Source organism: Homo sapiens, chromosome 2 (assembly GCF_000001405.40).
Source record: "Homo sapiens chromosome 2, GRCh38.p14 Primary Assembly".
NCBI lineage: Eukaryota > Metazoa > Chordata > Mammalia > Primates > Hominidae > Homo > Homo sapiens.
In genome coordinates this window covers 23,695,907-23,708,672 of record NC_000002.12, presented here as the reverse complement: position 1 = coordinate 23,708,672, position 12,766 = coordinate 23,695,907, and the positions used below count along the sequence as shown (strand labels likewise).

Here is a 12,766-nt window from a genome sequence, read left to right as displayed (position 1 = left end):
GGGTAGAACAGGTTTTGCATCCCTGTGGCAGGACGATGGCACACAAAGATTACGTTGGCTTCCAAGTCTAGATCTATAAATATATTTATTATAATATAACAAGAACTTAACAGTAAACATATACTATGTACAATACCATTACAGAGAACCCTGTTTTATATCATTCACAGAAATAGCCAGTTTTGCTCCAGTGTGATAGATGAGGAGAGAAACGAATTTCAATGTCATCTGTGTTGAGTCTCGCTGACAACTAGAACCTCCTTTGGAGGCAGACGCACACCAATGCTAACATTAGCCCTGCCCCAGGCAGTTAGGAATTTGTGCTCCAGTCCTTGGGTTCACACTTGCACCCTGTTTGACATAAATACTTTAAATGACATACAATGTATGTAGTTTTGTGCTTATTACTTTTTAAAATAATAAATAATATTAAAAACTGCATAACGAAGCTCGGTATCTTGTCCAAGTGGGAGCCACACTCGTAGTGCTAGAAGTTGATGCCCAACGTTAGAACTGGAATTTTGTGTCATCAAATACTGAACGATGGAAAGCGTGTCCTGTCTTTTTCTCTTATAAATGGTTGTTATCATGAAACGATGGCAAGTTGACTTCCCAGATATAAAAGTGGTAAATGTGTATTTGGTACCAACTTCAACTCAACAGCGCAGTGGCGGCAGCATTCTCCTGCCCTGGAATGGAAACTGTTGACCGTGTGAGGTTTGAGGGGCTAAGGACAAGTGGGAAGGCCTTTCCCTTTTGAGCCATGGTGTGACCTCCCTCCTGGCTTCCCTTTTCTCAGGTTCGTATGTGACAAGAAGAGTGGTTCTGTTCATGCCCTCAGGCCTTGCTGCCATGGCTCCACTAAGAAGGCTGTCCCCATCCTGAGAGCTCTTGTGGCAGGTGCCTTAATATATAGCTATGAATATCAAAAATAGTCTCCTGTGCTTTATAGACGCTAATTCTCCCTCCTTCCCTTCCCACTGGCCTGGTCCTCAGCTTGACCTCATGGAGGGAGCTGGGCCGGTGTCCTGAGCCAGAACCGGGCTCCTTCTAGAGCAGACTCTTCTTCCTTGGGCACAGCTTTTATGGGGCTGTCTGGGAGTTACTTTTTCTAAAAATAAAATGGGGGCATCGCCCACCCCAGGAGAGATCCTCTATTCTGCACATAGAAAAATGAGAGCAAAAGCCCCCCTCTGGCACTACCTACAAAGAGCTTTGGGAATTCCCACAACATTATCCCTCTTGTGGCCTGCTCCTCCTCTCAGTACTTAAAAATAGCCTTTTGTTTATCAAGAAAATGCCTCAGAAATCTAAATAATTCATACCGGGTAAGAGAAAGCTAGCGCAATCACTGTCCTTCTCCAGCAAAAACACAGTAGAAAAACCTGTGAAGGACAGACCGCTGTCCCTGCTCCCCGGCTGTCCCACAGCTGCCACCCCTGGCTCCGCGTGGGCAGCTGGGCTTCTCTTCAGCCCCAGTGGGGACCAGCAGCCTCCTAGGCCTTGTGATGCACAGTATTGTCCCTCGTTTTCTGTCGGCCACTGAAAGTGTAGATCGGTTAAAAAACAAAAGTAGGAATCAAAGTGATAAGGACACTTTGATCTTATTCCAAGAGAGCCTGATGCCTAATGTTGTCATAAGATAACTGATCTATGGTTGTTTAGGGATCAAGCTTGCTCTGCAGGAAGGAAAAAACAGCTTCTCTCTCCCAGTTGAAAAATACGTGAAACTCTATTGCACCTGGCAGAGCGAGCGCCCCTGTTCAGGAGGCAGCCAGCCCCATGGCGGGATCGTGGTTCCTGCGGCTCCAAGCGCGGTGCCTCCGTTTCATCCAAAGGCGAGGATGATTTTCTACATTCAATGTAGAGAATATTCAACATGTTGAGCGCAGTGAGTTCCTTGATTGTGTTTTGTTGGCCTCTTGTTGGTGTCGCTGGAAAATTATCATTGCGTGGCACTTGCCTCACCAGACTTGTCCACAGTCTTATCGTGGGCTTTCTGCTGATGTCAGCCGCTTTGAATATATTTCTTTATCACGACGCAGCCGTGTCTGAACACAGGGCAGGGCATGTGGGGGAGGAGGGTCCATGTGTTGGTTGTGGGCTCGTAGGCCTCCATGTTGCCCAGCGCGGGCCCTTCACTGCTGACAATACCTCCAGTTGCATAAATCTTGCCATCAAGCACCACAGCACTGTTGGGGGAAAGCGGGGACAGAGTTAGGCATTTCACTTCCAACTTGGCCCTGGAGATAGGTTCTCAACGTCGTGTCCTGTTGTAGGCTGCCTGTGCCTTTTGCAGAAGGCATCTGGGATCTTGCTGCCCTTCTTTGCCCTCTAACCTGGGCTGGCATAAGAAAAACACCTGTCCTCCAGGGCCAGTCAGGAAGCCGTGCTATGCCACCCTGCGAGCGGCAGAAGGCGCTCCCTCCCTGCCCCGCCAGAGTGACTAACCATGGCTAGGAGACGAAAGATCTCTGTGCGGGCACTCAGCTCAGGTCACTGAGGCTTTCTGGAGGCTCTTGTGTGGCACACGCAGCCTTCCTACTGCTCAAATCAAATTGGGAACATGACTCACAAGAATGACGAGAGAGAATAATAAGGAGCTCAGCTGGAATTGAATGTCAGCCACTTGACTGGGAGCTCCACCTGCCAAGGTGCTTCTGTGTGACCTGGTGCTGCTGCCCACCCAGGATTGCAAGGGCCGGGCATGCTCTGCAGGGTGACCGATGGCTGTGCCTGGACCCCTTCCCTGTGTGACACTCACTGGCTTGCTCCTGTTGTCTCAGTCAGCTCCTCTCATCATGAGGGCTCAGCATCTGGCCCCTCTCTGCACTGACTCCCTTAATGCATTTCAGCTACTTCTTTGCACTGACGTCCACATCCTTGTTTCTAGCCCTGACACTCTTTCATTTCAGCTAATGGCCATTTCTTCCTGGCTATTCCCTGACATTGGACACATACCTTTTCAAAGGCTCCACCCGTTTCTGAAATCTCTTAAAGAGAACACATCAGTCTGGACTTCTTACCAGACCCTGAAGCTTCCAGTCTTCTCTCCCTTAGTTCATGCCATCTGGGGCCCTCATATTTTCCTTCTGTGGTGCACCTATTACCTGATTATCTTGCAAGACCCAGCTTAACTCTGCCATTTGCCGTTAAGTCTTTCCCATTCTTTTTTTTTTTTTGAGACGGAGTCATACTCTGTCACCAGGCTGGAGTGCAGTGGTGTGATCTCAGCTCACTGCAACCTCCGCCTCCCAGGTTCAAGCAATTCTCCTGCCTCAGCCTCCTGAGTTAGCTGGGATTACAGGCGCCTGCCACCACACCTGGCTAATTTTTGTATTTTTAGTAGAGACGGGGTTTCACCATGTTGGTCAGGCTGGTCTTGAACTCCTGACCTCGTGATCCATTCACCTCAGCCTCCCAAAGTGCTGGGATTACAGGCGTGAGCCACTGTGCCTGGCCCTTTCCCATTTACTTCTAGTCTCAGAGAAGGTGCGAGCATCCTCCCAAGTGGAGCGCAATGCTCCAGTTGTCTGCATCAGTGGACGGGGTAGTCAGACTGTGCTCTGCACACTGCCACCATTAGGGTACATGACATGGAAGTATGGCTCAAGAATTGTGAAATCTCAGTCCAACAGGAGCTTAGCAGTTGTCTGGTCCAACCGCCTGTTTCACAGATAGAACTTCCTCAGAGAGGTGAAGGGATATGTCCAAGGTCACTGACATGCTAGTAGGAGGTTATATCTTTTCTAGCTATGCTACACAAACAATGGGCACTCTAAGTACTTCATGCTATTCCCACACTGAAGATTCTGCAGTTACCTCTACATAGGCACAAGATGTCTTCAGGAAGCATCTGCTATGGGAGTCCTGACAATGAGGTTTCTGAGGCCCCTTCTTTTTTGTGAGACGGAGTCTTTTCCTGTCACCCAGGCTGGAGTGCCGTGGCGCGATCTCGGCTCACTGCAACCTCCGCCTCCCGGGTTCAAGCGATTCTCCTGCCTCAGCTTCCTGAGAAGCTGGGATTACAGGCACATGCCACCACGCCTGGCAAATTTTTGTATTTTTAGTAGAGTCGGGGTTTTACCATGTTGGCCAAGCTGGTCTTGAACTCCTGATCTCAACTGATCCATCCGCCTCGGCCTCCCAAAGTGCTGGGATTACAGGTGTGAGCCACTGCACCTGGCCTTGGGGCCCCTTTTTATTCCTTGTTCCTCTTAGTCCAGGAAAGGATGGGGCTGGAAGAGCAGGGACTGGTGTCTCGCTGCCACAGGGCCAGAAAGCCTGGGGACCGAGCCACACTCAGCCCTCTACCTTCTCTGCCTGCAGGGGTGGGTTTGTGTGTGCTTTTGCCCAGTCAGCCTTTGGGACTCTGAGCACAGCTCCCAAAGCCATCAGGATCGTTCATGTCCTCAGAGCATTCCCCCAAGAAGTCACTTGTCCCTGTAGGGCATCACACAGCTCTGGCCTGGCACTGCCTTCTGTCTGTGATGGGGCAGGTGGTCCTGGGGGAAGCTGACCTCACCTCTCACTGAGAGCAGGGTAGCCTTGATGCCTTCAGGAAATGGTTCATTTCTGCTGGAGCTGGGGCCAGCTGGAGCCCCGGGGTTGGGCTCCTGGACCAGAGGCTGCCGTGGGCTCCACCCTACTGGTCTGGGCTAATGCCCACTCCTGTGGTTGGAGGGGGAGGGCCACTGCTCTGGGCCTGGGAATTGCTATGGTCACTGATGGCAGGAAATCATTGTGGTCACACCCCTCCTCCTCCCACTCCTCCGTCCCAGCCCTAGTCAAGGCGCCGCAGCCTCTCACCTGCAGAACTGGCGAGAGTGGTTCATGTTTGGGCCCGCCTTAATGTTTCCTTTCTCAGGGTCGTAGATGGTGGTAGCTCTGGCATAAGCCCCGCCCAGGATGAAAACGAAGCCATTGAGCGTGACAGCGGGGGCATACTTGTTGTCTGTGAGGAGAGCAGAGCAGGCAGGTCACGGCAGCTTGTCTTGGACTTCCCTCTCCTTTTCTTTCCCAGAAGACCCTCCAGGGAAGGAAGCTCGAAAGACTTCCAACAAGTGACTGATTGGCCTGGGGATGGGTCCGGGGCCTAGGGGAACCTGGAGCCTTGACTCACTTGCCCCTCTCCAGACACCTGAGCTGGGGGCTCGGCAACTCCTGCCACCCTCTAGATCTGGGTCTGCAGAGCTGTTGGGCTTAGCCTGACTTCTGGGCATGGGATACTGAACAAATCAGCAAGGCAGGGATGCGACCCTGGCCCTGGGCTGAGGACACCGCTGGTTCTCACCAATCATTGGGGACTCGATGAAGCTCCACGTGTTGGTCTGAGGAACGTAAGACTGGAGGACGCCGGCAGCTCGGCCTGCCTCGTTCACCCCACCAAACACGTAGATCTTGCCGCCACACACTGTGGCTGCAGCAGAGTGTACTGCCTTGGGCAGAGGGGCCACCGCCTCCCATTGGTTGGTGATGGTGTCGTACCTGCAGGAGAGGAGAAAAAGAGCCCAGGGTCAAGATGGACCTTGTGCGGGGCAGAGGTCACAAGCAAGGGCAGCAAACTGCCATCTGCTCCTCGCCCTCAGCATGGCCAGCATAGCCTGAGATCACACCAGCAGTGGGGGGCACTGCGATGAGACACTCAAGACCTCCTGGGGTCTCGTCCAAACTAGCCCTCTCGGCCTTCCTCTGGAACATCAGTGGGCTCTTTCTGCCTATGGCAGCGTCTGTGCAGAATTCCTGTCTCCATCCCTTTGCTCACACAGTGCTCCCCTCCTCTCTATCCAGCTCAGTCCTACCCTTGCATTCCGCAATGCTGGACTGAGCATTTGCTTTATAGCCAGGCCCCAGGCTGGAAACTGGAGAAACGTGCTGGATGAAGCACCATTCCTGCCCTCGAGGTGCTTATGGCCTCGTGGGGAAGGCAGCCAAATAAAACACACAAAGAATAATTACATGCAGGATGCTGAGTGGTCTGAAGGTGAGAAACCCAAGGTGCACATGGCAGGGGGCACCCAGCAGCTCCAATAGGTCATATTAGCTTTCTGGAGGCGCTGATACCCAGGCTGGGCCTTGAAGAGTGAATAAGCTACTAGCTAGGTGGATGGGAAGCAGGACTGAGTGGGCACAGGGAAAACATTACAGGTGAAGGGAGAGCAGTAGGCAAAGGTGGCATTTTGGGAGAATTTATAGTGCAGACAGTCCCCGACTTAGGATTTTTTGACTTTATCATGGTGCAAAATGATTGCAATTTTGATGTAATATACAGTGTTCAATAAAATCCATGAGATATCTGACATTTTATTATAAAATAGGCTTTGTGTTAGATGCTTTTGCCCAGCTGTAGGCTAATGTAAGTGTTCAGAGCATGTTTAAGGTAAGCTGGCTGAACTATGATGTTCAGTAGGGCAGGTGTATTAAATGCATTTTTGCCTTAGAATATTTTCAACTTATAATGAGTTTATCAGGACATAACCCCATCATCAGTCAAGGTGCTCCCATAGTATGGAATGGCTGGAAGTGGGGGGTAGTTAAAAAGAGCCATGTGGGCTGGGCGCGATGGCTCACGCCTATCATCCCAGCACTTTGGGAGGCCGAGGTGGGCGGATCATCTGAGGTCGGGAGTTCGAGACCAGGCTCACCAACATGGAGAAACCCCGTCTCTACTAAAAATACAAAAAAAAAAAAAAATTAGCTGGGCATGGTGGCACATGCCTGTAATTCCAGCTACCCAGCTACCCAGCTACCCGGCTGAGGCAGAAGAACTGCTTGAACCTGGGAGGCAGAGGCTGCGGTGAGCCAAGATCGCGCCATTGCACTCCAGCCTGGGCAACGAGCAAAACTCCGTCTGAAAAAAAAAAAAAAAAAAAAAAAAAAGCAAAAAAAAGCCATGTGTGCGAAGCTAAAGGAGTTGGGCTTTATCTAGAGTGCAGTGGGTGAAGGTTTGTTTGTTTGAGGCAGGGTCTTGCTCTGTTGCCTAGGCTAGAATGCAGTGAGTGGCATGATTATGGCTCACTGCAGCCTTGATCTTCTGGGCTTAAACAATTCTCCCACCTCAGCCTCCTGAGTAGCTGGGACTACAGGTGTGCACCATCATGCCTGGCTAATTTTTTGATTTGTCGTAGAGATGAGGTCTCCCTATGTTGCCCAGGCTGGTCTCGAACTCCTGAGCTTAAGCAATCCTCCCACCTTGGCCTCCTAAAGTGCTGGGATTACAGATGTGAGCCACAGCACCTGACTGCCCTGAAGGTTTTAAGCAGGAAAATAATGTGATCAAATTTGGCATCTAGAGAGATCACTGTGTCTGCAGGATGGAGTATGTCCTGGAATGAAGAGGTCAGAAGCGGGGAGACTAGTTGGACTAGTCTGCACAAGAAATTTGGTGAGATGCGACAGTGGCTTGGACCAAGGAATGACAAAAGAGTATGAGGACAGGAGAACAGAAGGAGAGGGGAATGGGTGTGTTTGCTCATTGAGATAGTTGCCAAGGATGGTTCAGGGTCTGGCTTGGGACTGGTGGATGGTGACACTACTGGTGGGATGGGAAGGTTGAGGGAGGAGGGTGATTTCAGTTTTCTTCACAGGAAGTTTACAGTATTTGTGGGCAACAGATTGGAGATGTGCAGCAGACAGTCAGATATTTGGGTGTGGATTAAATATTCAGCTGTGGGATCTCTGGCACAAAGCTGGAAATGGAAGCTCAGGAGTGTGCTGGGGAGATGTGAAGTGCATGGGGGCTGAGGACAAACTGGGGAAATGTAGTCTTTAAGAGGGGAGCTGAGAGGCGTCCTCAGAGGGCAGCCAAGGTCCCAACAGCGAGTGAGTGGCTGTGCCCCTGAAGGTGAGGGCTTCAAGGATGGAGGATGGAATCTCCAGCAGGCCACTGCTCTGTAGTCAAGGGCACTTCAACCGGAACAAGAGGTGCAGAACCCATTTGTGTCAGTGGAGACCGTGGGTGTAGACTTCTTTTGGAAGAAATTTAGCTGTGAAGAGGCACAGAAGGTAGGACCTAGAAAAGAATCCGGAGCTGAGAGGGGTCAATGGAATGCTGATGAATGTTTAACAGCCAGCTCTCTAGGGAAAACGTCATGGTTTGTAGCGTTTGCTGGTTTCTGCGATGTCACTCCTCCCACTTGGCTGATTTCAAGCTACCATAGGGATGTTGCTGAACATGGAGTTGGAAAGAGATGTGCTGTGGCCACCATTCTCTGGAATCTCCTCCCTGGAGAGGCGCAATAGGCATATATAACCTCAAGGCCCAAGAGAGTAGTAACATGTAGTAAAAAATTAGGAAGTGATGAATTTTGAGTATGGATTACCTTTGTTTTTAATATGTGTATATAATTTTTAATAATTAAAAATTGTTAAATTTTTGTGGTTAAAACAACTGGCTCAGAGTTCCTGTAATTTTAACTTCAGATCTCACGAGCCAGCAGAAAACAGGTCTTGTTTTAATTTTTAAGGGGAATGTTTAATTGTGTTTACATGCTAAAATAGGAAGGAGTCCAACTGGATAATGAAAGATTAAATGTGTATGAAAGAGACGGGAGTGCTGATGATGGAAGGCTTCCAGGAGGTGGATGCAAATGGAATCCAAAGTGCAGAGGGAACGTGGAGTCCATTTGCACAGGAGAGAGGAAGTCAAGGATGGCACGAGTGTAGCTGTATTTGTAGGAATGACTGCAGGAAGGTGAGCAAGTTCTTGACTGATGGCTCCATTTTCTCTGTGAAGCAGGAGTCAGAGTTGACCAAAGTAGTGGGGGAGTCTGTAGGGTCAGATCTCTGAAGAGAGAGGTCAAGACAGGAAATAACTGCTCATGAGAGTAGGAGAAAGTGCTGAAGAGGGAAACCCAGAAAGGCTGCCTTGCAGTGTGAAGGACCCGGTAGAGGATGGGGGCCTTCCCTTCTCGTGTGGTGGGGCCAGTGTGTTATGGGGTGGGATTTCCTCCATCAGCATTCAGCCCCCAGGGCTGGGCGCCGAGAAGGCAAACGGTTGGGTTGAACAGATCTGCTGATGTGGGGTGCAGGACAAAGCAGCAGAGGAAAAGGATGAAGTGATAGAACATGAGTGCCAGACAAGACAGGGGAGAAAGGACAACAGGAGGCAGCTGCTGGGAAAAGCAGACTTGGGGTTCAGCAGCCTGGCCAGGTCACTGGGATGTTTGAGGTCTTGCTTCATGGGGAAGCTGGAATATCGGTCCTCAGTGTTTCTGTCGGGTTCCTTGGGGGCTGGTCTCCCAACTCCAGTTGCCTCCATACTTAGGCCCTCCCAGCAGGGGACACATCTACCGCCCACCATGCTGCTCACTGTTCGGTGAGTGCCTGGACGCAATGCGAGGCCTGGGCATGGCATGCTGTGCCACCAGGGTTGGGTCTGTCCCCAGCACATCTTTCCTGGGAGGCATACGGGGCCTGCTTTCTTTCTGTGAGCCTCCTTGGGACACCAGTCATAACTCAGTCACAGCCCAGAGCCCAGGAAGCTGGCCTCCCAGAGCCCGTGCCTCTGCCTCTGAGCGAGGGTGATGTGACGTCCAGTTGTGTGCTTGGATTTGAGACGAGGCTGGAATGTCTCAAAGGGCAGCAGCGGGGCAGATTCAATTAAGCCCCAGACAAATGATATGTAGCTTATATGCAATGGAGTAAGTGTCTTTTTGGACAGTGTCAGAAGTTCAGATATCTGCTTTTTAAGCCAATATGGCAGGGTTCCAAAGAGCTCCTGCAGAAGGAGCTGGGAGACAGTGGAAGATTATGTGGCTGTTAGTCCTCAGTCTTTCAGTATGATGGCACATCGCACCAAATGCGAATTTCCTGAGAGCTTGTTATTCCAGGTGGCTGATTGCCAAGCCATGAGCCCTCCCGTCAGCTCAATCTGTCAGCTTCCTGCTTGAGAAGGATATGCTAATGACATGCAAATGACCCTGCCGAGTGAGGCGTTCTGCTATCATTTATCCAGTAACCACAGTGACTGCAATATATTGCTATAAAATATTAGACCCGGTTATTTATATAATGATATAATACAGGTTTGTCTATTGTGCTGTTGTCTTAATCTATAATTATATAATCTTGCTCTATTCCTGTAATACCATAATGTAATATAATTATAATGCACCATATATCTCATTCATTATCAATATAATAGCCATTTGTACCATTAGTGCTTCCTGGGGAACAAAGCCCCCTCGTGTCTGTCCCCATTACCCTGACCTTCCTGTCACCCTGAATTCTCATCATTGCCACTGTGTGCCACAGAAAGCAACCTACCCGAAGGGGGTCTAGCTACACTTCTTGGAAAGCAGTGAGCGTTCCTTCCCCTGCACCCTCCAACCCACTTGCATGCACACTGCCCAGGGGTCTTCAAGCCTGCATCCTGCCCCTGCAAGGACAGTTGGCAGACTCTGGTGGGCTGAGGAAGGGCTCAGGGCCCTTCAGGGCACCCTTTTGTCCTTCATCTCTTGGGGTTCCCGGGGTGGTCTCGCTCACACTGTGCCCATGCTGAACTTTCACAGCCAGAAGGAGGGCCTTGCCCCCCAGGGAAGGCCCATACAGGCAACCCCTGGTCTTGGAGAACTGCTCCAGGACCCTGGAAGAGTAGAGCTTGTCTCACTGCTTAGTTGGTGCATTTGATCCTTGAACAAATCCCTATATTTATCAACAGTATAAGTTTGCAAAATGAGTAATCAGTGTCTTAGGAGATTAAAAATAGCCGACAAAAGCAAGACAGAATGACGGATCCAGTTCAGTTTACTCCTACAGAGAAAATGTCTCATTTTTCATGTGTTTGTTTATTATTGGATGACAAATGATCGGAAGCCGATGCTTCCAGAATGCTTGGGGTATGCATAGCTGGGCAGTGGGTCACACTGAAGGCTGCCAGCACCGGGGCCAACCCAGCTCCAGCAACTGCGGTAATATCCTCATTTTCACGTGGCAATGCCCATGATTGCCAGATCAATATGATAACTAAATGTTGTTACTGAGCCATCTCTGGGCTCTACTTGGGGGAGGAGTTAAAAGCCCACAATGAGCATTCAGAGCCTGCCTCACTCTGCAACCGTCTTTGCTGTAACATTTGTCAAGTGTCCAATTAGCCACCAAGGGGGAAAAATACAAATTGAGGGGTATGTGTGGCTTCATAGGCAACATGATGTCCCACGGGAAGATGTGCTTTCTGGTGACACATGGCGGTGGGGGTGGTGGGCTCAGGTGCAGGAGGGGCTCTGGCAATCTTAGCTGTCTCCCCTGGGTTGTGCTTTGGGCCAGGTCAGCCTGACGGGTTACCCTCCAGGCACTAGTTTCTCCAAAAGCAGGACTAAGCCTCCGTTCTGCTGCCTGACAAAGCTTCCTGAGCTTTTCCCCCAGGCATCTGTTCTCTGTAAGAAAGAACAGTCTCCCTGGCTCAAGGGAAAAGGATTTTGTATTCTCATCCGGAAGCACCCACTTCAGCCCACGCCCCTCATGCCTGTATCTGACCCTCCACAATGGCCTTGGGAGGAAGCCAGGCTGGGACTCCCAGCGGAGGGCAGGTTCACACGTGGTCCTTTGGCTTATTTTTTCTTCTGGAAAGTTCTAGAGGGTTGGCAAGAATGTTCTCCCTAAATTGCTTAGTTTGTATGCAGTGGCCTTTCTCTGTATTACGAACAGATGTCCTGGTGTGTGTGGCTGGAGGGAGGAAGGGAGCTCCCTGGTGTGGGACCCCCCGCTTGGCAGGACAAGGAGGCACCGCCACTGGCATGACCTGCATTTTAAACATTGCTTCCAGCTTTGCCCGAAACCCCAGCAGTCTCTGGGCTGGTGCTCATGGTGCAGGGTGTTCCCTGACTGCCTGGCCAGGAGGGTCTGGCTCATCCCAGGCCTTCTGCAACTGGATCTTGGGCCTCCAGCTTGTCTGACACCTAAATGGGTTGTCGGGACAGAAGCGCCCCATCTCCCATCTCAGCGACTGCAAAGGTGACACAGATGTCATCCCATCTGCTTGTATCCCACACCCTGCTGCCCCCGGTGCTGTGACTGAAGAGCCTGGGATGACTGCCCATATGAATGGTCCAGGCTCTGCTCCATCGCCACTGAGTGGGTGTTGGGAGGTACAGTGAGTGACGTGATTTCAGTTCTTGGTGAGCAAAGAGCATGCCCCTGTCCTGACCGTGGCCTCATTACCTCTCCACGTGGTCCACGTTGCCTGCCACGCCAAGTCCCCCGAGGGTGTAAATCTTCCCATCGTAGACGAGGCTATTGTGCCGACAGCGGGGGACTGTCATTCTGGAGACGAGGTTCCAGTTATCAAGCAGGGACATGTAGCACCAGACATCAGCCAGCGTCACCCCTGATTCCATCCCACCTGGAGGCAGTGTGGGAGGCAGAGAGAGCGGGCGGGGTGAGGAGGGGCCTGGGGTCAGCAGGCCCAGCCCCAGGGGCAGAGGAAGGCTTCACCTGCAAAGTAGACACTTCTGGGCCATGGCCTTCCTCAGCCCTGACGTGGGGAGCAGTCCCCTTGGGACCCCCATGCCTGGTCCCGCCCCAACCCCGGGGGGCCTCACCTGAGAGGTAGATGTTGTCCCCTGCACTCACTACACTGAAGAACTCGCGGTCATAGAAGGGCAGCGAGGCCAAGGGGTACCACTTGTTGTTCTGCGGGTTCCAGCAGGTGACGGCCACCAGCGAGCGCTGGGTCATCCCCACCATCTGACGGCCCCCAACCAAGACGATGACCTCAGCCACACCTGCAGGGACATGGATGGGCGCCCTTGGGACACACTCTAAGACT

At 51.3% G+C, this 12,766-nt stretch overlaps 2 protein-coding genes across 6 annotated transcripts in view, besides 1 other annotated feature; one reads left to right on the top strand and one right to left on the bottom strand.

The window, feature by feature from the left end:
• The window catches only part of ATAD2B (ATPase family AAA domain containing 2B), a 249,155-nt gene that overhangs the window by 218,451 nt on the left and 17,938 nt on the right, over positions 1-12,766 (top strand). The window lies entirely within an intron of this gene.
• The window catches only part of KLHL29 (kelch like family member 29), a 323,428-nt gene continuing 310,728 nt past the window's right edge, over positions 67-12,766 (bottom strand). For all 3 annotated transcript variants that reach the window (NM_052920.2, XM_006711929.4, XM_011532501.3), the window contains 5 exons: positions 12,540-12,722; positions 12,160-12,340; positions 5,294-5,487; positions 4,810-4,954; positions 67-2,192 (listed from right to left, as the gene is read on the bottom strand). In NM_052920.2, coding sequence (NP_443152.1) covers positions 2,009-2,192; positions 4,810-4,954; positions 5,294-5,487; positions 12,160-12,340; positions 12,540-12,722 — 887 coding nt within the window. In that variant the 3' untranslated portion in view covers positions 67-2,008. The remainder of the gene's footprint in view (positions 2,193-4,809; positions 4,955-5,293; positions 5,488-12,159; positions 12,341-12,539; positions 12,723-12,766) is intronic.
• Positions 5,084-5,916: an enhancer, noted in NCBI's record as "H3K27ac-H3K4me1 hESC enhancer chr2:23925627-23926459 (GRCh37/hg19 assembly coordinates)". NCBI's record gives its function as "activates a minimal SCP1, AML or CMV promoter by ChIP-STARR-seq in naive H9 embryonic stem cells {active_cell/tissue: H9 hESC(naive)}" and the evidence as "EXISTENCE:reporter gene assay evidence [ECO:0000049][PMID:30033119]".